The 23,017-nt window shown below is 41.3% G+C and overlaps 1 protein-coding gene across 3 annotated transcripts in view, besides 1 other annotated feature; it reads left to right on the top strand.

The window, feature by feature from the left end:
• The window catches only part of ASTN2 (astrotactin 2), a 991,946-nt gene that overhangs the window by 140,584 nt on the left and 828,345 nt on the right, over positions 1 to 23,017 (top strand). The window lies entirely within an intron of this gene.
• Positions 5,010 to 5,658: an enhancer, noted in NCBI's record as "OCT4-NANOG hESC enhancer chr9:120031095-120031743 (GRCh37/hg19 assembly coordinates)". NCBI's record gives its function as "activates a minimal SCP1, AML or CMV promoter by ChIP-STARR-seq in naive H9 embryonic stem cells {active_cell/tissue: H9 hESC(naive)}" and the evidence as "EXISTENCE:reporter gene assay evidence [ECO:0000049][PMID:30033119]".

Here is a 23,017-nt window from a genome sequence, read left to right as displayed (position 1 = left end):
TTATTATTACTGGTAGCCTCCCAAGAACCCTACAGATTAGAGATTCCTTAGCTTGGGAAGCCCTCAGATTAACCAAAGACAGGTGATGTTTTCTGGCCTGTTCCAACCCAGACTATTTTTTTTTGAGACGGAGTCTCGCTCTGTTGCTCAGGCTGGAGTGCAGTGGTGCGATCTTGGCTCACTGCAACCTCTACCTCCCAGAGTCAGGCGATTCTCCTGCCTCAGCCTCCTGAGTAGCTGGGATTACAGGCACATGTCACCACGTCCGGCTATTTTTTTGTATTTTTAGTAGAGACGGGGTTTCGCCATGTTAGCCAGGATGGTCTCGATCTCCTGACTTCATGATCCATCTGCCTTGGCCTCCCAAAGTGCTGGGATTACAGGCGTGAGCTACCACACCAGACCTCCACTCCAGACTTTTGTTGGGAGGCGCCTGAGTGGAGAAAGGCCCATAACCATGGGAGATAACAATTAGGGTCTCAGAGTCACCCAGGGGACTATCTTCTACTCCTCAGAAGGTGAAGATATGTCTGGCCTGACCAAGTGATGCAAAGTGAAAAATGAGGTTGTGACATAGCAACAACATCTGTGTCATCATTTCTGCACCAGGAGGTCAATTGGTTTGATAAACTGGGCTGCTGCCAGAGCAGTCTTTGTTTAGGAATTAATTAGGAGCCACAAAGAACTGCTGCTTGTGCAGATTTTGGTCTCTGGAAGTTATAAAAAGCAGATGGATTTTAAGCAAATGCGTTTTTCATCCTTTAACACCATGTGAAAGGGTATATATTAGAGCAGGTGGCATGGAGGAATGGGCAATGAAAATGGACACCTGAGCCATCCTGTTCTGCTTCTGTGTGCTCATGTGCATGGCCCCGTCTTTTTGGCTGCTGCTGTTTGTGCATCAGTAAAACTTTGTTATTAATAATACCATATCCTGAGTCTTTTTTATGTCCCAAGAATAGCACTAAACACTTCACACACTCGTCCCTTATCTAATCTCTACAGCACTCCATTGAGAAGGCTGTTGTTAACTAACCTTTACCTGTGAGAAAACTGAGGTTCAGGAGGGAAAACTCTTCTACTAGAATGGATGGAGCTCAGACTAGAGCCCTGATATGGTTTGGCTGTGTTCCTACCCAAATCTCAACTTGAATTGTATCTTCCAGAATTCCCATGTGTTGTGGGAAGGACCCAAGGGGAGGTAATTGAATCATGGGGGTTGATCTTTCTCATGCTATTCTCATGATAGTGAATAAGTCTCACAAGATCTGGTGGATTTATTGGGTTTCTACTTTTGCTTCTTCCTCATTTTCTCTTGCCACTGCCATGTAAGAAGTGCCTTTTGCCCTCCACCATGATTAAGAGACATCCCCAGCCATGTGGAACTGTAAGTCAAATTAAACCTCCTTTTCTTCCCAGCCTCAGGTATGTCTTTATCAGCGATGTGAAAAAGGACTAAAAATACAGTAAATTGGTACCAGTAGAGTGAGGAGTTGCTGAAAAGATAACTGAAAATGTGGAAGCGACTTTGGAACTGGGTAACAGGCAGAGATTGGAACAGTTGGAGGGCTGAGAAGAAGACAGTAAAATGTGGGAAAGTTTGGAACTTCCTAGAGATTTGTTGAATGGCTTTGACAAAACTGCTGATAGTGATATGAACAATAAGGTCCAGGCCGAGGTGGTCTCAGATGGTGATGAGGAACTTGTTGGGAACTGGTGCAAAGGTGACTCTTGTTATGTTTTAGTGAAGAGACTGGCAGCATTTTGCCCTTGCCCTAGAGATTTGTGGAACTTTGACTTGAGAGAGATGATTTAGGGTATCTGGTAGAAGAAATTTCTAAGCAGCAAAGCATTCAAGTGGCGACTTGGGTGCTGTTAAAAGCATTCCACTTTAAAAGGGAAACAGCATAACAGTTCAGAAAATTTGCAGCCTGATGATGCAGTGGAAAAGAAAAACCCATTTTTTTGAAGAGAAATTCAAGCTGGCTGCAGAAATTCACATAAGTAGCAAAGAGCCTAGTGTTAATCCCCAAGACCATGGGGAAAACATCTCCAGGACATGCCAGAGACCTTCACAGCAGCCCCTCCTATCACAGGCCCAGAGGCCCAGGAGGAAACAGTGGTTTGTGGGCTGGGCCCAGGGTCCTTGTGCTGTGTGCAGCCTAGGGACTTGGTGCCTGTGTCCCAGCCTCTCCAGCGTGGCTGAAAGGGGCCAATGTACAGCTCAGCCTGTGGCTTTAGAGGGTTGAAGCCCCAAGGCTTGGCAGCTTCCACATGGTGTTTAGCCTGCAGGTGCACAGAAGGCAAGAATTGAGGTTTGGGAACCTCTGCCTAGATTTCAGAAGACGTGTGGAAACGCCTTGAAGCCCAGGCAAAAGTTTGCTGCAGGGGCAGGGCCCTCATGGAGAACCTCTGCTATGGGAGTGTGGAAGAGAAACGTGGGGTTGGAGCCCCCACAGAGCATCCCTACTTGGGTACTGCCTAGTATAGCTGTGAGAAGAGGGCCACCATCCTTCAGACCCCAGAATGGAAGATCCATCAACAGCTTGTGCAGTGCACCTGGAAAAGCTGCAGACACTCAATGGCAGCCCATTAAAGCAGCTGGGAGGGAGGATATACCCTGCAAAGCCACAGGGGTGGAGCTGCCCAAGACGTTGGGAACCTACCTCTTGCATCAGCGTGACCTGGATTTGAGATCTGGAGTCAAAAGAGATCATTTTGGAGCTTTAAAATTTGACTGCCCTGCTGGATTTCAGACTTGCATAGGCCCTGTAACTTCTTTGTTTTGGCCAATCTCTCCCATTTGGAACAGCCGTGTTTACCCGATATCTGTACCCCATTGTGTCTAGGAAGTAACTACCTTGCTTTTGATTTTACAGGCTCATAGGTGGAAGGGACTTACCTTGTTTCAGATGAGACTTTGGACTGTGGACTTTGAGTTAACGCTGAAATGATTTAAGACTTTGAGGGACTGTGGAAGGCATGATTGGATTTGAAATGTAAGGACATGAGATTTGGAGGGGTCAGGGGCGGAATGATATGGTTTGGCTTTGTTCCCACCCAAATCTCAACTTGAATTGTATCTCCCAGAATTCCCACATGTTGTGGGAGCACCCAAGGGGAGGTAATCGAATCATAGGTGCTGGTCTTTCCCATGGTATTCTCATGACAGTGAATAAGTCTCATGAGATCTGGTGGGTTTATTGGGGTTTCTGCTTTTTCTTCTTCCTCATTTTCTCTTGCTGCCACCACGTAAGAAGAGCCTTTCACCCTCCATCATGATTATGAGGTGTCCCCAGCCATGTGGAACTGTAAGTCAAATTAAACCTCCTTTTCTTCCCAGTCTCTGGTGTGTCTTTATCAGCAGCATAAAAATGGACTGATACAAGTCCAGGATGTGGGAATCCCAGGTCTGTGCTAGTAGCCGCTATGCTAAAATAACATTTTCTCATCTTCCTGATAAAATGCCGTGAGTGTCCATTTGAAAGTATCTGTTCAAAGCTGAGTGAGAAGCTTTGAAGAGAAGATCTTAGAAAACAAGGATTTTCATGTATGGGTCAATGAGGACCATTTATACTTTCACGAATCAACTCTATGTTGACAAAAGTTAATCACTTTTAAAAGAATGCATTCCACTTAAGTGATAATAGTTATAATAATGCTAGGTAATATTTGTACAGTGCTTTGGCAGATTCAAGAAAATATCCACACATTTACTATTGCATTTTATCCTGAAAACAATTAGGTATTAATATTGTAGCTTTTGTCATTAGTATTAGCTCTGTTTTATAGATGGGAAGATTGAAGTTTAGAAAAGTTTATCATGTCCAAGATCACAGAGCCACTCAATGGTGAGACCAAACATCCTTATGCCAGGTACAGGGGTATCCCTTGGGGATAATTGAAAGGTTAGGAATGCCCTGTGGTAGCAAATAGGGAAAAGTTAATGACAAAGAAACTCATGAAACTGTGGCATGTTAGAGGCACAAGGGCCATTTAATGTCTCTGTGACCCTCATTGTCACAAAAAAACAAATACTTTATGATTCCACTTATATGAGATACCTCAAGTAGTTAAATTCATAACATCAACCAGTGGAGTGGTGATTTCCAGAGACTAGAGGGAGGGAGAAATGAGCAGCTATTACCCAACAGGTATAAAGTTTCAGCCAAGCAAGATGAATAAGTTATAGGGATCTGCTGCACCACATTACACCTATAGCAAACTATTATGTGTTGTACATTTAAACATTTGTAAAGAGAGTATATCTCATGATCTCATGTTAAGTTTTCTTACCACCATAAAAAGTATTTTTTTAAACAAGAAAAACTAATACCCAGAGATGAAAATTTACTCCTTCAAACTCGCACAGCTAGTAATGTGACACTGAGGATAAAAGGTGGACAAATTTGGGTTTAAATCCCAAATTTCCTATTACCTCTACTTGTGATTTAGGGCAAATTAATTCACTTTTTGAGCCACGGCTTTCTTTTCTGTAAAATAGGAAAAATACTATCCAATGGGCATGTGGATTCAGTGAGATAAGATGTATATGAAATTTGTGGCACAGTGCCTCTTGCAGAGTATGTGCCCCAAAAGTGAAACCATTGGGACAGTAGATAAAGAGGAAAAAAATCATGGGCCTTGGTTCAACTTTAAGTGCCTCAATCACTAGCTATGCAACCTTGGAAAAACTATTCATATCTGCTAAACCTCAGTTTCCTTGTATGCAAATTAGAATGATGGCTAGACTTACACCATTTTGTTTGCTGTGAGCATTAAAAATAATCTGTGATGATGATTCGCACGGGGCCTTGCCCACGCTGAACCTCAGCTCTCGTAGGTCCCAGTGTGTTCTGCTCTTTCCATCATTTTCTGTCTCAGCTGGATGTTCTTCAAGCAAACAAATAAGGCCCATGTTTCCTTCCCCGAAGCACCATTGTTGACATTTTTCCTTTGGGCCCTGGAGCTAAGAAGCAGTTCTGGATCCTAGCCATTTCTATAAAAAACCTCCCCAATTTTGTGGGGTGATGTGTCCCCTTCAAGCGCAGAAATAGAGGAGAAGATGGCATTAAGTGTAATTAAATATGCACTCTTGCGTTTGGGGAAATGCATTGGGGGAAATTTGTCTTTAAAGTGTCATTCTTCTAGCAAAGGCACCTGTTATGCTAATGATGCTGCCATAGTCTCTCAACTGGGGGCCTAGATGTTTTCTTAGCATAGCTACTGTGAATACATTACACCCCATGCCACACTCCGTGGTCTAGCGTCTTTTGCTGAAATGTAAGCACCTTGGATTCTTAATTTGGCCTCCATAATGAAACACATGGCTGGGAGAAGTACTTAAGTCAGTCCCCTCACTGGCGAGAATACCTGATGGGAAAAGACTAGAAGAAAAACAAACATTTATTGAGCCATTGTCATGCACTAGGCATTGTGCTGATTGCTTGTCTTATGCTCTGCTACTTAATTCACCACAGCCATGCGAAGTAGGTATTCGTATTGCTATTTTACGGGTAAGGAAGCTGAAAGGTCACAATTTAGTTATTCAACTAATATTTCTTGAACAACCCGCTCAGCATGTGTCAAGTTTTTTGTTAGACCCCTGGAATTGTGATTTGGTCAACAGAGTTTATTAGCAGTATTAACTAGAGTGACAGACTTGAGACTGGGGCCCCAGAGACATTACAGCTTGTCTAATGTCACATTGTAGGAACTGGCAGAGTTAGATTTCAAACCCCGATCTGTCAGAGCTTTGTTTTGACCCGCTTGAAACAAGGGACCTGGAGCTTGTTCATTTGCTTCTTCAACCTTCTGGAACATCTTATATGCACAAGGTCTTGTGTTAAGCACTTAATCTTTATTCCCAGATGAAGGTTTTCATACTTTTGGGTCAGGGTCCTGAGTCATGTATTCAGGGAATACAAGATGGCACTGTATCAGAAGCACAGACCTTAGACGGTGGGAACACAGAGGAGAAAAAGTATACTTCTAGCCAGAGTGATTAAGGAAAGCCTCCTGGAGGAAGAAAACGTTGGTTCAGGCCTTGGATTTGAACTTCAGTCAATAATTTACAACTGCTCCCTCTTAGTTAAGATCTTTTTCCCAGAAGATGATGCTGGTAAGTCCCTGGGGTCAGGGATTTATCCCATACCCTCTTATTTTCCAAGAGGTTATTTGACTCCAGGAATTCCATCCAACATTAATTCACCTGATATCGACCACTGTTTCATGACAAGGGCTGGGGACTGATGAACGCAGGTGGACATACATGGCTTTTACCCACAGAAAGCTAATGGACAAGAGAGGGAAAGAGGAAAATAACAGTGTGTTTAAGTCATTCTCAGTTAATTCAGGAAAGACTTGGCAGGGTGGTAATGAAAGTAAGTTTAGAAGGGAACCACATTTATAATCTATTCCAGTGCTTTTTAACATTTTACAGCAGAAACTATTTATCAAATGAAACACATTCATCAAATGAAATGCAATGATTGGCATTGTTTATGTCCACATAGACACCTGATATGTAACAACAAAGTGGGTCTGCTCTGGCTGGAGGTTCGGAGGAGTTGCAGGAGCAGGACTTCAGTTTCTCAGTTCACCCCACATACCATCAAAGCTGTGCCCTGGGGAACATGGCTTGAAAACTACTAAATCACTCCCCGCTCCTCCCCTCATCATGAAACATCATGAAACTGTTGGAGAAACTGCGCCCTGAGAGGCAAAGGTATCAACAAAGTCAGAGAGTGAGCTGAAGTCAGGAGCCAGCTCTTAGGTGCCCCATTCCAAGGCTTGTAACCACACCATTGGGAGGAGGAATTTTTTTGTTGATGTTTATTTGTTTTTGCATTTTTTAAGATTTTTTACTTGGAAATAATTTTAGATTTGCAGAAACTTTGCAAAGATGGCACAGAGAATTCCCAAATACTCTTTACCTAGCCTCCCCTAGTGTTAATATCTTTCATAAACATAGTATATGTGTATGTACTGAGATATTAACAAGAAATGAACTGCTGAGTGTCTGTGGTCAAGTCTCTTCTTTCTGAGCTTTCCCCTGTCTCTAATGTGATGAGATTAAACCAAGTGATCCCAGGGTGCAACACTATTAACTAAAGACCTTGCTATTATTTCCCCAGTTTCTCCACTGATGCCCTTTTACTGTACTAGGATCCAATCCAGGATACCATATTTAGCTCTCATGTCTCCATGGTCTCCTCCTCCTCAGCCTTTCTTTGTTTAATATCATGACACCTTTGAAGATCACTGGTCAGGTATTTTGTAGGATGTCCCTCCATATGGGTTTGTCTGATTTTTATTTTTATTTTTGGAATTAGTTTAGGGTCTCCAGATTTGGACAAAGAATGCCACAAAGATGAAGTGCTCTTCTCATTCCATCCTGGTACATGGTATCAACCGACTAATTATGTACTTGATGACTTGTACAAGGTGGTGGCTGCCAGGTTTCTCCACTCTCAAGTTACTGTTTCTCTCTTTCCACACTCTATTATTTAGAAACAAATTACTAAATCCAGCATACGCTCAAGAAGAGGGGGATTAAGATCCACCTCCTAGAAGGAAAGCTTCAAATAATTTGTGAACATTTGTTGAGACCACTAAAGCAATTAACAAGCATTTGGGGGAGATAATTTGAGGCTCTACAAATATCTTGTTTCTCTAAAAAGTTTATACCCACTAATTTTATTATTCATCAGTTGATCTTGTCTTCAGTGATTTATTACCCTAGTGGAGAAAAGTGATTTTTAAAGCAAAACGAAAATAATAATTACAAAAAATATGAAAGGAAGGAGAAAAAATGCACACTTATTAAAGGCAACTTATTTTTTTGCAGGTGGTAGACATGGGTCAGTGTAGTTATCTAGGAGAAAAGGGACGTACCATGCTCAGCAGCCTTGCTGGTCTTTTTCTGAGATGGGGACTTTCAAGTTGGCATCTCCATGGCACTGTCAGTAACCTTCGCATTCTAATGTTGATGGTGGCTCTTTTAACTCTACTAGGAAAAGGTCAGCATGGAGCAGTAACACCTAACTTGCCAATTTTTTTTTTCATATTTCATCTTAAAATACAACTAGTTGTAGAAGCTGGTGAAGATATATTTTGTAACCAGATTGTTTGTATGTTTTTGTGTGTGTGTGTTTGTGAGTTTCTGTTGCATGTGTGCTTCCTTTTTGCTTTGTAGGCGTGCTTATTACTGGATCCCATGGCATTTAGGGAGGGAGGGAGTTATAGATGTTTCCCTTGGCTGTGCCCTTAGCTTTGGGCAGTCATTTAGAGCAGCTTGAATCCTTAGTGAGGTTCTACAATATCTTAATTATAAAACCTGTCTGATTTGAAGCTCAAGGATGAGGAAGTGCAGGAATGTGTATAAACTGCATCTGTCTGGCACAACCTAGGGATCTGGGTAGGTCACAGGGAGTTAAGCCTAGCAGATTAGCTCATTTTACCACTAGAGCAAATCTTATGGAAGAGATGGCCTTTTAGATGGTTCCTGAAGGATTAAGTTTTATAGGAAATATTCCAGAAAGGAATTAGCATTCAAGAGTTAACATGGCATCTGGCTTTATAAACTATTCTTTATGGCCTAAGGGTATTCGATAATCCCACCTCTTATCCACTAAAATATTAGGAGATTTTTTTTTTTTTTTACCATTTTGCTTTCAATTTTTTCTGATTCTGAGGAACCATTGTGTAGTGATGTGACTACTTGCATCAGTGGAGTGATAAAGCACTTGAATGTTCTTTCTGTATCTTTAACATATTAGAATATCAGCACAGCTAGTAGCTGTAATTATTTCTTAATTGGTTGGTGAGTTTGTTGATTGCTGGTTGGCAGATTTAGGCCGGATTGGAGATTCTGTCTCATTTCCACTTGGATTTTATAGCAGACACTCTTGGTGTCCAGCCCACATGCCCTCAACACTGACCCTCTCCATGAATGCTGGCTTGACTTTCAGTTGCCAGCACATGTGACTCTTTGGCTAGAGGTTCTTTGGCAGCTCGGTACCCCTCTGCCCATGCCTGGGGAAGGCTGCAGTGCCGGGAATCACTGGACCTTCAAGCACAGTCCTTAACTGCTGATTGTTGGGAGTTGGTTAACAGATGCCTCACCTCCCTTGCCACTCCAGTGGGCTATCTCCGAGGCATTTCTGTTGTTCTCAGAATGCCCCAGCACAATGCACCTTCTGTTGCCCACAGTGGCATCTGGCTTTATAAACTATTCTTTATGGCCTTCTTTTTCTTCCCTGCCTTGTTTCCTAACTCCTCTAATAGTTATTTCTGAAATCACTTTCCAAGTAAGCCACTTACAGTCAAATTCCTATCTTCTGAACTGCTTCTGGAGAAAGACAAACTTAAATAGACTTCTTCTATGGCCCCTTTGACCAGGGATTTTGGGCTCAGAAGGGGAAAAATGACCTTGACTTCTTCTAGCTGTGAGATTTTCTAGTTGAAACAGAGAAAAAAGCTTTCATTCTCTGAGCCTACATTTCTTACTTATAGGAGGAAAACATCTCAGCTTAGATGTTGCCAAGGTCCTTCCTGAAGTTTGGTTCCGAAATATCAACTTACAAACATCTTCATTCCTCCACTATGTGTGTGATTTCTTTGTATTTATCTAATTTGTTCTAAGGGAACGTTTTTACTTCCCACCTACCAGGTCCCATTTTCAAAAGCAAACAAGCAAACAAAAACGTTAAGCCTAACACTTCCAGTATTAAGTAAGTTTGGATATCTTGTTTTCTAAGACTAGCTGTGTTTGACTTTGGATGTAAGCCGAGAATATGGGGAAGACCAGTTGTGTTTTTATTTTCTCCCTCCTTCTCTTTTGTTATTCCTCTCTCACCCTAACTTTTCCTCTTGTATATTCGGAAGTAAGATTGAAAGCTCTGACCTATTTATTTTTCTGATTGAATATAAAACCGGTGCTATATTCGGTAGCTTAGTACATGCCAGGCACTACACCAAGCATTTTCCATGCATTATGTTATTTATTTCTATAACAGTGGTATGAGGAAGGCACAGTAATTTATCACGAGGAAGCTAATATTTGGAGAAATTATGCAGTTGCCCAACATCAGGCAGCCATGAGTGGTAGAGCCAGAATTTGAATCCAGACTTGTCTGAATACAAATCCTGTATTTTACTCACTATCCACTTCTCTTTGCAATGAAATTCAGTAGATGTAACTCTAAAGATCTCTATGTACATCAAGACATAATTTTTACGAATGGGGTAAATGTAGAGATTGGACCAGAGAAATAACTCAGTATCACCTAGAAAAAAAAATTGTAGATTTTACTGGACAAGAAACTAAGTGAAGTAACAGTATTATGTGGATACCATAAATAAACTGTATTTTTTTCAATTTAGATTTCTTTTTTTAATTTTATTTTTAAATATTTATTTATTTATTTTGAGACCAGGTCATAAGCCTGGCTAATTTTTGTATCTTTGGTAGAGATGGGATTTCGCTGCGTTGCCCAGGCTGGTCTCGAACTCCAGGGCTGAAGTGATCCACCTGTCTCAGCCTCCCAATGTGCTGGGATTCCAGGCATGAGCCACTGTGCCTAGCCTCAATTTAGATTTCATCAATAAACGTGTCCCACCGAGGACAGGATGTTCTGATTTGAATAGTCACTACATTGAATACTGTGCTCAGTTGTAGTGTTATCTTTAAGAAAAACGTTGTGAACATCAAGTGTGTCCAGGGAAGATTAACCACAGGGTAGTGAAAAGGTTCAAAACCATATTACCACAATTCTGGAAAAAACTGAGAGGATTTAACCTGGAGAAGTGAAGATTTGAGGATCTTGATGAGGATCACTACTTCAATTCCCGAGTATCTCCCAAGGTGAAATAGGAGTTAAAATTGTCCTGTGTGGCCTCAGGACGTAAGAATCAATGACTGAAGCTATACGATAGCCAATTCCAGTTCTATTTTTAAAAGAAATAATAGCAAAAGTATCCAGCATTGGAATAAGATATTTCAAGAAATGGTATTTATTCCACCATGCCAGTGGTAGGATTTTTTTAAAGAATTTGCAGGTGATATAAATCCAACTCAAACTGGCTAAAGGACAAATAAGGCCTTTATTTCTCCCAGAAACTGAAATATCTACTTTTAATTTCAGGAATAGTTAGATAAAAATGTTCACACAAAGTTATACTTCACTCTGGTTTCCTCTGGGTAGGTTTCATTTTTGGGCAAAATCTCTCCCGGTCATAAGATTACTTTATATTTAGTATCATTAGGGAAAAAGAGAGAAAAAAAGGAGTCCTTCTTATTTTTAGCCAAAGTATCTGGGCGAACTATAATTTGCTCATGTGTCCATGCCTGCAGTAGTTTTCTATTGCTGTAAAGTTTTACAAATTTAGAGGCTTGAAACAACACAGATTTAGTATCTTACAGTTCTGTAGTTTAGAAATTTAAAATGGGTTTCACTGGGTTAAAACCAAGGTGTCAGCAACAATGTGATCCCTTTAGAGACTTTAGGGGAGAATATGATTTCCTGCCCTTTCCAGCTTCTGGAAGCCACTCATATTCCTTGGCTCATGGCCCCCTTCCTCCATCTGCAAAGCCAATACTAGGGGGTCGAGTTCTTCTCACACCACAACACTCCCACCTTCTCTTCTGCGCCCCTCTTTTATTTACTAGGACCCTATGATTACATTAGGTCCTTCTTGATAATCCAGGATAATCTCTCATGATAAGATCAGCTGATTTGCAACTTGAATTCCATCTGCAACCTTAATTCTCCCTCACCGTGTAACCTATCATATTCACAGGTTCTGAGTATAAAGACTTGGACATCTTTGGGGGTTATTATCCTTCCTGCTGTTAATACAAACCCTAAAAAGTTCACTGCAATGCTCCAGTTGGCCAACTCTGGGTTAGGTGGCCACTCCTGAACTGAGACTCAGGCCAGCCAGATCTAGACTACATGGATTGAGGGTGTTGAAGGGGTATCATTTAGTTTCTCAAAGGAAAACTAGGTCTTTATTAAAAATGAAGAGGGAAAGGATGCTAAGGAGATAAAAAATAAATAAATAAATAAATAAAAAAAGAAACAGAATATCAACCACAGTGTTGGGTGGGAATATTCAGTATTAGGTAGGAGATGAAATTAATAACCACAAAGTGTTTTTCCATATCCTTACATTTGAGTACCGTATCTTATGGCTCTGCCTAACCACAGGAAAAACAAATTGCAGTCTTGATCATGTGATGGTAATGGTGTGGCCTCCTCCTTTCTCCCGTATACCCACACTCTGGTACCACCAAAAAAAATTGATGATCCCTGCTAATGGTATAAATTTTATCCTCTATTCCTGGGTGAAGTCCTGGAAATTACTAGGCTCAGATTTACTCTTTTGTTTATGTCGTTCTCTGATTCCTAAATGATAGAGGCCATTAGGATAATGCTGATAAAAAGAAAGAAAGAGAATTGAAATAATACCTTTTTAAAATAAAGAGTATTATCTTCCTTGCCCAATAAGTATAGTTTTAAAGATGCTTCTTAATAGATTCTATCACAGTCTTTGGCAAAATAATTCCAAAGGGACAAAGTTCTCTAGTGGAAACAACAACAGTAAAAGATCCTTCTTCCCAAACTTTGCTTTGAGAAAAGCAAAAGGTATGAGACTGCTCATAACTGAATATTTCCCCTCCTTGCCTGCTGCTAGCTGAAATTGGATGGGACCATGAAATCCTAACCAATTTCACTCCACCACAGGTGCCTTGAGTGATACATTTCCAGTCAAATGCACAGTTTAGGGCTACAGATGGTGGAGGAGATAGAAAGCAGAGGTAAGAATGAGGAGAGAGTCATGGGAGACATTTTAAGAGAAATGGTGTGATATTAATTTTTTTCAGACTTTGGAGTTCAACATTCTTTTGTTTCAGACTTCAGTGTTCAAGCAGGAGGCTTGGCTGGGCATTTATTGAAGAAACATTTGCTGATAGAGATAACACCTGGTGAATTCAAGCATAGCCATGAAAGTGGAATCAGACGTTCCAAGTGCTTTGAAGCTGTGTAAACTTATTTAAATCCAGGTCAGATTGAACAGATCTGCTGCCTATGCAACACCTAAAGCATTTACTAGGCATGGTGCTGTCAGGTCCTGAATCAGCACATGGTCATCCTACTTCTTGGCCCAATTTCTGCTGAATTACACACCCTCAACTTGCCTAGTCTCTATTTGTAAACAAAGGTTTCCCACTAATTATGCTGCCAAAACTGAGTGAAAATGCCCAGGGATCTTCTGTTGTCTTTCATCCCCTCAAATGTGACTTTCTTATTACTACCATGTGATCTTCATGAAAGCAGGGAATTCATTGTGCTCACTGCTCTGTCTTTAGTGTTATTCTAATAACATCTCATTCATGCAAGACTATTGATTAATTTATATCAGATACATGTACTGAGCATAATGTCTTCACTTTACAATTTATTCACTGGAATAATTCATGTTTACATAAACAGATACATACTTATACACACTTTCACAAAAGAGTTATGGAGTATTTGTGTAGCATACTTTTCAGTTGTATGGAGTACTTTCAAATTCAGTCTTCCCCGTCAATTTAAGCTATATATTATTTGTCAATGTGTCTGTGCCTAGCTTCATGCCTGGGAGGTACATGGTATGTGCCTATTGGGTTTTGTTAAACTGAACCAGACTCATTCCACAACAGAGAAAGCTAAAGTTCAGAGAGAAATAGATGGCTCCAGGTCACACAGTTAGTTAATAGTAAGGAGATGTGACTTCTCCCTTACCACTCCCTACACAGTATAACTATCTGGACCTTTCAGCTTTCCCATCTTGGTGACTACATTCAAAGACCACATAAAGAAATCACAATTTCTGACCTTTTGATTTTTCTCAACACCATTGCTGTTGTTGACAGCTGGTAGGTTGTCGATTCTTGATTGTATATGGTTTTTGATAAGTTTTAGGGGATTTATGTATGCACTAAAGCACATGAAGTTTGTTACCAGGAAGTGAGGACGGGAACTGAAACCACATTGCTTCAGACCTTGCCTCAATCTTGGCACTTATTTATCCAGGATAGAGTGGAACGGTGAGATGTACTTTTGATGGTAGACCTTTAGAAGAAGAATAACAGTGGTTCCCAGTTCCCTTAATTAATAATAACCCTTTTGCCCTCTGTTCACATGACAGATTGCTCAAAGGAACTCAAAGTCCAGTATATATAGCAGTTGGTGAAGGTGAAGCCATTGTGGTCTTAGTGCATTGCATTCATGTGCTCTGTTAAAGGGGTGGCTAGCTTTGATGTTGTGTCAGGGTTTTTAGGGGCAACGTTAGGCTGTACCTGATCCCCTCTCCCCAAGCCCATGAGAATTCCAAAATCACACCTTGGGGAAAAAGGGAGATGACAGGGCCAGTAAGGGATAAAAGAAAGGAAAGCAAGAAGAAAGAAGGACAGGAAGTAAAAAAGGATATGAGATTTTTAAAGAGGTAGAAAGCTTTTATTGAGCATTTACTCTGTACCTTATTCTGTTAAAGTCACTTTCACAGTCATCATTTTAATAATTTGCATCTGTGAACCTCAAAGTACTTGAGACAGGTCTCAATCAATTTAGAATCTTTATTTTGCCTAGGTTAAGGACATGCCTGTGACACAGCCTCAGGGGTTCCTAACAACAGGTGTCCGAAGTGGTCAGGGTACAGTTTGCTTTTATACATTTTAGGGAGACATAATACATCAATCAATACATGTAAGATGTACATTGGTTTGATCTGGAAGGGCAGAACAACTCAAAGCAGGGACTTCTAGGCCATAGGTAGATTTTAAAATGTTCTGATTGGCAATTGGTTGAAAGAGTTATTATTAATAGAAAAGAATGTCTGGGTTATGATGACCAAGGTTTTATAATGCAGATGAAGCCTCTAGGTAGCAGGCTTCAGAGAAAACAGATTGTATACGTTTCTTATTAGATCTATGGTCTGTGCTGATGTTAATGCTGGTTGGTTTTTCCCAAATTCCCAAAGGGAGGAGGGCATAATGAGGTATGTCTGACCTCCCCTTCCCATCATGGCCTGAACTAGTTTTTCAGGTTAACTTTGAAATGCCCTTGGCCGAGAGGAGGGGTCCATTCAGATGGTTGAGGGGGGCCTTAGAATTTTATTTTTGGCTTATACATTGGTTGTATATACTGAAAGCAGGGATGAGTGAATACATGCTTTTAATCTTTCCAACCATTCATGCTTCAGTACACACATTTTGCATCTGAGAAACCTGAGCTACAGAGAGGTGAAGCCCCAGGAGCTAAGGGGAGCATTTTTGAGGTCAGGAGCTTACATGGACAATTTCATCCAAAGAAGGCTCTCAGAGGTACTGGGAGGGTGGAAGGGCTGAAAAGCCTTCCGTCACTGGCCACAATAATATCTGTGAAAGAGCTATTTTTATTATTTTGTATCTAAGAAAAAGAAGAGTCAGAAACTTGAAATGTCTTGGCCAAAGTTATATACTGATTCTTTCATTCATTTATTCTACCTTTGTATATCTACTCTAGGCAAGAAGTGAAATAGACGATCCCTATCCCTTCAGGATCTACTACTTTGGTGTGTCTTTTTCTGGGGTGACACTGGAAAATACAGGTGAGGCAGAGAAAACAGAGGGGAGCTAAGGCAGACGTTTCAGACAGAGGGCACAACATATGCAAGCACAAGGAGGCTTCAAGATGCAAGGGCACAGCATGTTTTAGGGAGTGGAAGTGGTTTGTTGTGGCTGTGGCAGAGAATGCCTGGGGAAGCACTGTGGGTGGTAAGGCTAAAGAATTTTGATGATAAAGGCTTGGATTTTATCCTGCAGGCGATGGAGACACAGCAGACCTTTACAAGCAAGCAAAGCATGGCTTTAGAAATGTGAATAGAAAGTGATGGAGCAGGGACACCCGCTCCCCTTACATAACCCGGTGTGAATTCTTGCCACCATACTTTATCCACCTCCTTTGCTGCAAACTGTCACACAGACAATAATCAGGGAGGTGTTTCCAAATGAACAGGAAAAGGGAACAGATGAGTAACCCACTTTTGAGTCTGAGTTGTGCGTTGAGAGGCTGAGCTGCGTGGTAACAATTTGCAACATTAAATTGAAATGGGGTCTGATTGGCTGGAAAGCACTTGGCCTACATTAATGCCCGCAGAGACTCTCTGAGTCTGATTAAGCTGCAGGTTTTGCTGGGGCCTCTCCCGGTGACCCATCATTATTCATGTCAGCACCAAGTCTGTCAGCCTCCCTCCACCACCAAAATTAATGAATTGAACTTCATGACCCATGCGTTTGATGGGATGAGACACTCTAAGTCAGCACAAGGCTATAGAGATGGGCCACAATCGTTCCTTCCTTCTTCCTTCCAATGGAGAGACTAAACCACTCCCTACTCTTCTTTTTACTGGCCTCAGCTGCCAAGCTGGCATCTTGAGCAGTGACAAGGGGACCCAGGAATAAAACAACAACAAAAAAACCTATAACCTGAAAACTGAAATCATCCTTGCAGATGTAGTCCAACAGTATCCCCACTGTATAGGTGGGAAAACTGAGGCTGGCCCTTTGTCCCACAATGGAAAAGAGGGCAGAGCAATGACTACAACAAATCTCTTCTTTTCTCCGATTTCCTTTGCTCTTCTTTTATACATTTAGTCCACTCCTGGAATGCTGTTTTGCCCCTCATTTCTCCTATGTTGTGGGAATGGAGAGAGGTATATATCATTTCCCCAGCTTGACAGTGGAACCAACATTCAGCATCTCTATTTTTCCTCTGTGTCCTCTGATTCTCACTTCAAAGCCAAAATTTTCTGTGGTGGCTGCTGTCCTGGGGAGAAAATGAGAAAAATACATTAAATAATGTTTCTGGCCTAGAAAGAAACCTAGAGGTCACCTTCAATTTCTTCTACAGCAGCCCTGTCAAGAGATCTTTAAGCTTCAGCTTGCATGGCTCTAGTGCCAGGGAGCTCACCACTTCACAGGGCAATCTTTCTATTTTTGAACAGATTTGCCTATTTAGAAAGACCTCTCCAGATTGACCTAAAATCTGTGTTCACAGTTTCTACTCTTTGGTCATAGTTGTGTCATCTCTAGCGCTGGATCATGAATCTACTTTTCCTTCCATGTTGGAGTTCTTTGGATCCTTTAAGCTAGCTTTCATGCAGCCCCGAAGTCAGTGTGTCCCTGTTCCCCAAACTCTAGTCCTTTTAGACCCATTAGTAAGATAGTAAATCCATTTAATGAATCAGGACCAGCATTTTCTTCATCAAAATCAAATGGAAATAGAATAGAACAAAATAGAGAAAGTAAGGACAAGTTTGTTTCTGAAACGTTTGATGCTTGTGTATCTTTGTGTGTATGTGCACTGAGTCCCATAGAAAAATGTGGAGGTTTTTTTCTATAAGTTGTGCTACAAAAATATTTCAAAGAATGCTTTCAAATATTCCAAGTCTTCTTCTGTCTCCTTTTTTTTTTCCAGCTAAACATCTTTTGGATCAAATTTTATTCCAGGTTTTTAACTGACTATCTGTGTCTTTAACAATTTCTTAACCTCTCTGAACTTCAGTTTCCCCATCTCTTAAATGCATAGAAAATAGTGGGTCCTCTGTCCTTTGCAGCATTCTTGTGAGAATCAAATATGCTGTTGAATGAAAAACTAATTTAGAAGGTGAGAGGGTCTGAGTTATAATAGTAGTAGGGGAATTGTAGTAGTCATGGGATAAAGAATGGTAATAATTTCTCTTTTTCCTCCTTTATTTCTTCTTCTTTCCCTTTTCCGTATTCTTATTTATGCTACTATAACGTAGTCTAGATTTTCCATTATTTGATCTTACATCAAGGGACATCATGATATGGTGAAATGAACATGGGCTTATAAACAAACCTAAGTTCAAGTCCAGCCTCTTCTAGTCATTGATTGTATGATCTTGGCAACTGTTTTAATCTCTCTAAGCCTCACTTGCTTTACCTTTAAGATGGGAACCTTAGTGCCTAACCAATGATAACGTTCCATGATAGGAAGCATTATCCAATATGTGTGAGATATAGTAAAATCTGATAAACACTAGGTCCCTTTATTCTCTGTCCACCCTCAGAGTGGCATTTCTGAGGACTGCACCAGCTGCAGATGCCCCAGGATTCCAGCATTTAGTGTATGTGCTACCCTACTTTCCCAGCAGCCTCTGAACAAAAGAGGAGCAGGTTCTCTGGAAAGCATAGGAGGAGGAAGCACAGGGTATAAGGCGAGTCCTGGGTGAGGCTGAACATGAGTTGAGCTCTGCAACTCCTTCCCACTCCCCATTCCGCATCATCAAACAGAGAAAACAGTCATCTCTGCCCTGCCAAACTTGCAGGCTTGGTGTGAGCCTCAAATGCATTGAAAACGAGGCAGTGTTTTGTTAGTGATCCAAGTGAAAGGATTTTATTCTTGTGGACATCATTTTCATTCAGACCAAATTTGCTTTTCCCTTGGATAGATGATTATCTCTAGATGTGTGCTTTCAAAGAAGTAAGTTTTCCTGCCATAAGTTGTACCTTTCCACATTGAAGTTGATGCTCCATTTCCAACAGAGACCTGTCCAACATGCCCTTCATTGTGGTACTTGCCCCGGTGGCTTCTAGAAAGCTTCTCTAGAGAGAGCTGAGCCTTCTTCCTCCTCCCCTCCCTGTGTTCTGCATCGCTTGCAATAGCCATTGCAATTCTCTTTGTCATACATTCTGTGTTCCAGCCAAATATGTCTCCTCCGTGTTCTCCCGGCATTTGTTTCATCCTCAATCTTCTTTCTGTACTTTTCTCACACCATTCTGTTTCTTGAGGGATGGGGGGAAGACTCTCCTTCACCTCTACAGGTAGATTCATCTCAGAAACCACCTCCTCTCTGAGCCTTTCGAATATTGTCCCAGTTAGAAGTAAAGAACCTGCAGTTTAATCAACCCAAGTTTACATCACAGCTCTAACATTCATCAATGTATGACCTTAGGCTATTTGTGAGCCTGTTTCTTTATCTGTAAAATGGGTGTAACACAAATAATCTCCCAAGGGAACAGTGTGGGTTAAAAGTGCTTCTGTGTGTAAGGTGCTTTAGCACATGGTAGGCATTCAGTATCCCCTTAATGAGGGTGAAATGCATCTTGTTTGCTGCCGTATCTCAGCCCTAGTTCAAGACCTGACATACAGTAGGCATCCGATAAATATACAGAATGCATTACAAATTTAAATGATCTCCCTTCCATCCTTTCTCTGAAGCACTCTCTCTGGAAGTCCAGAGGGGGCTGTTTATAATTAATGTCAACTCTAAATAGTCCTCACTGATTTCTGGATGCCCAGAATGGAATAAGTCACCAAACAGTTGGTTCTGGACCCCCAACACCTCTTCAGCCAGAAGAACTGTGATTATTTGTGTTTCATATACTAGGATTAGGTAGGATTTAATTTAGATGTTCTTCGCTGCAACTAACTGGAAAACAGCTTCTTTATATCAGTACTTTTTGAAAGATGGGTTGAAACAATTTAATAAGTCCTGAAATATTTACTGGCTCACAGCAAGCCTTTTTAAGAAAAATAGAAGAGGGCATAAAAAATAGAATGGAATGGAAAGGAACAGAAAGGACTGAATAGAATAAAATGTGTAATCGAACAGAATAGACAGTGATATGGAATAGAGTGGAATGGAACAGAATGTACCAAAATAGAATAAACCAGAATGGAACACCTTGACTCACATCTAGTATTTTTTGATGTGAAAAAATTTTAGTTAATTACATACATATATACACATATATACAACTGTCTGTATTTATTATTGTGGGCCCCAATGGGACATAATTTAAATGCCACTGCTTTATGTTATGGTAGTCAACTGTGCCCCTGTTTTATTGCTTAAGTTGACACTAAGCTTCCTACCCACAGCAGAAACCATAAACGATCCCCATTTGTGTCTCACCATTGTCTAACCCTGGGTCTCACCCTTCAGAGGTGCTCAGGAGCTGTTGGTCAAATCAAATTGCCAAGGAAACCCTGGGTTGGGTTGTAGTAGTCTTTACAGAAGTGTGGTAGATGAAACGTATGTTGAATTTAAGAAAATGTATCAATAATAATGATAAATGCTACTTAAGGATATTAATCACTACACAAACATTTAGAACTGGGTCTGGCAGGTAGTAAATCCTCAATAAATGATAGCCTTTATCATTTTGACTCTATGACCATCATTTAGTGAATGCTCACCATGTGCTTCAATACATCTTATCATTTATTTCTCATACCATCATTCTATGGTACCTATTATTGGCCCCATTTGACAGATGGAAAAATCTGAGGCTCGCATAGTTGGAGTCATTTGCCCAAGGAAGTAAATCTCAGTAAAAGCAAAGCTGGCGTTGGAACCTTCACCTTCACCTCCCCTGCCAGACTCCAGAGTTCCAAGCTCTCCCAGCCTGTCGGGATGCTGTTCAGGGCTGGGGAGGTAGGCAGGCCTGTGAGCGTTCAGACTCAGAAAGGCTTCCTGGTGCTGGCACTTCATGCAGATAAGAACCTCTGGGTGTGTGGCCAAAATGGGGTGGAAGAAATAAGGCATAGGAGCTGCTCAGGCTACTGCATTTCCGAGGCCAGTAGTCCTGAGGCTGACCTCAGCTTCATTCTAGGACAAGAGGTTATCGTAGGCCCATCCTCCCCACAATTCTGCCCCAGCTCCTGTTTCATGGATGCTTTGACACCATCAGATATTGCCTGGTCAGAGGGACAGCGACTGCCGGCAACTGCTGTAATTCTCTGGCTTCCATTTCCTTGTTCTTAAATGGAGCAGGTAATCCCTGCTTGTTTTAGAGATGTGATGAGAATAAGAATGGTGGGGACAGGCAAAGAAGGAGGCAAAGGCCCGGCACAGAAAGTCCTCACTAAATGGATGTCCCTCCCTTGCTTTTGTCACAATGTCCAGCTCCACTAGAGTTGCTGGATTCCTGCCATACCAGCTCGTTTTTTATCTTGGGGAAGCTTTCCAGTAGGAGGAAGACAGCCTTGGTGGTGGCCAAGGAAATGTCTCTGGGATTGGTCCCTAGCCTGGAGCTCTGTTTGCCTCAGGGCATTCCAGAGGGCATTGCTATTCTTGGCCTCATGACCCAGCACCTCCTTTGCTCCTCTGCTTTACTCCCCATGCTGAAGAGAAACAAGAGATATAAGAACAGATCTGGGAGATCACTGTAGCCCCTTTGAACAAATGGACCCAGGTGTGGAGAGGAAGAAAAGCCTTATCAAGGGATCTCTCCTGGGACCAGGCCTCCAGAGATGCAGTCATGCCTCTCAGTCATGGTATGACCAGGGGCTCTGACCTTGCCACCAATGACTGCCCAATATATCAGACAGGAAAATGGACACAATCTACATCATCTATTTAAATCTTCATAATTCTCATCAAAATTCCATAATGCATTAGTGGTCCCATTTCACAGAGGATGCTATGACTCTGAGATGAAGAGCTTGCCTAATTAGTAATAACAGCAACAACAACATATAACATAGTATAGCACTTACTGAGAGCCAGGCACCATCTGAAGTGCACATTCTTGTGAAGCCAGGATTCACTCCAAGGTTATCTGACTTTGGAGCCCAATTTCTGCAAAGGTAAGAGGCTGCAGAGAATGGAAAAAGGGCTTTGGCAAAATCTTGACGTGGGTTTAAATACATGTTCCCACATCTCAGGCTGCATCATTCTGCAAATTCCTAAACCTCACTGAGCTTCAGCTTCTTTATTTGACAAATGAGGGTGATGATAACTGCCTCATAGAATTGCTGATTAAATAGTACAAGACATATCTAGTCCCTGGCAAATATAAAACACTCTAACAACATAACGATTTGTTTTTTTAATTTAATGACCTTGTGCAAAGAACATAGTTGGGAGACACTGGGCCATTAGCACCATGTGGACAGAGCCTGGATCTGTCCTGTTTCTTGCTCTGTCCTTGGTGGTAGTGCGTGTCTGGCACTTTGAGAATATCAGCAAGTATTAGCTGAAGACCCCCTGGTGGACTGGTTGATTAAATGAATGAACGAGGGAAATGAATGGATGCAATCAAATTAGTTACTTGCAGCATCTTCTTAGTTTCTGTCCAGGCTTTGTCAGAACAGAAACCACCACCTTTTAGTTTTGCCTCCAGAGTTCTGGCCACAGATAAGCATGCATATGCACAAAGCAAGGAGGAAGAATTCACTTTCGGGGGCATCCTACTGTCCCTTGGTGCTCAGGCTCTATCTTCTCAGAGAAACTGGCCTCTTTATCAAATGAGCCTGGCCTTGATCTCCATTTGATTAAGACATTCATCCCCATCATTATTAGGCAATGCAAAAATCTCCTTTATCGTCTTCCAAAGACACCTCTTCTCCAACCTATAGAGAATATAATTTTATCAGAGGTTGTTCTGAAGGAATTTAATTTGACAGACTATTCTAGCCACTTTTGGGCATAATATTTAGAAATGAGAACAGTTTTGCCTCCTTGGAGATGTGTTTTTCCTTTTATGACCTCTTCTCTTAGTGAGCTCCCAATTCCTGTGCTGATAGTCTGCCTGAGGCTTCAGGCTTTTTAGAAGACTCTCTTCTCCATCCCTCTTATGACTACCTAGTGTAGACAATCTTACACTATCATCTTCCCTGGCAAGAATTAGTACTGATGCCTTTCACTGTCCTGGCCTCCAGGTTTGCCTCTCTCTGATTCATCATTCACAATGCTACCAGTGTGAACTTTCTAAAGCCAGATTCTATCATGTTATTCTCCTGCTAATAGCAGCTAAAAGATTAGAAACTCCCCATCACTCACAGAAATATAACTTGAGTATCATAGCAAGGGCTTTAGATAGGTTGAAATTCATTTATTCAGGTACATATTCATTTAGTGTTTATTGAGTTCCTGCCATGTGCTCAGTGCTGTTATAATCACCAGGTAGACAACATGAATAGAATGAAATTCCTGTCCTCATGAAGCTTATGTTTTT

The sequence above is a fragment of the Homo sapiens genome, chromosome 9, assembly GCF_000001405.40.
Source record: "Homo sapiens chromosome 9, GRCh38.p14 Primary Assembly".
NCBI lineage: Eukaryota > Metazoa > Chordata > Mammalia > Primates > Hominidae > Homo > Homo sapiens.
This window is presented reverse-complemented; position numbering and strand designations above follow the sequence as displayed.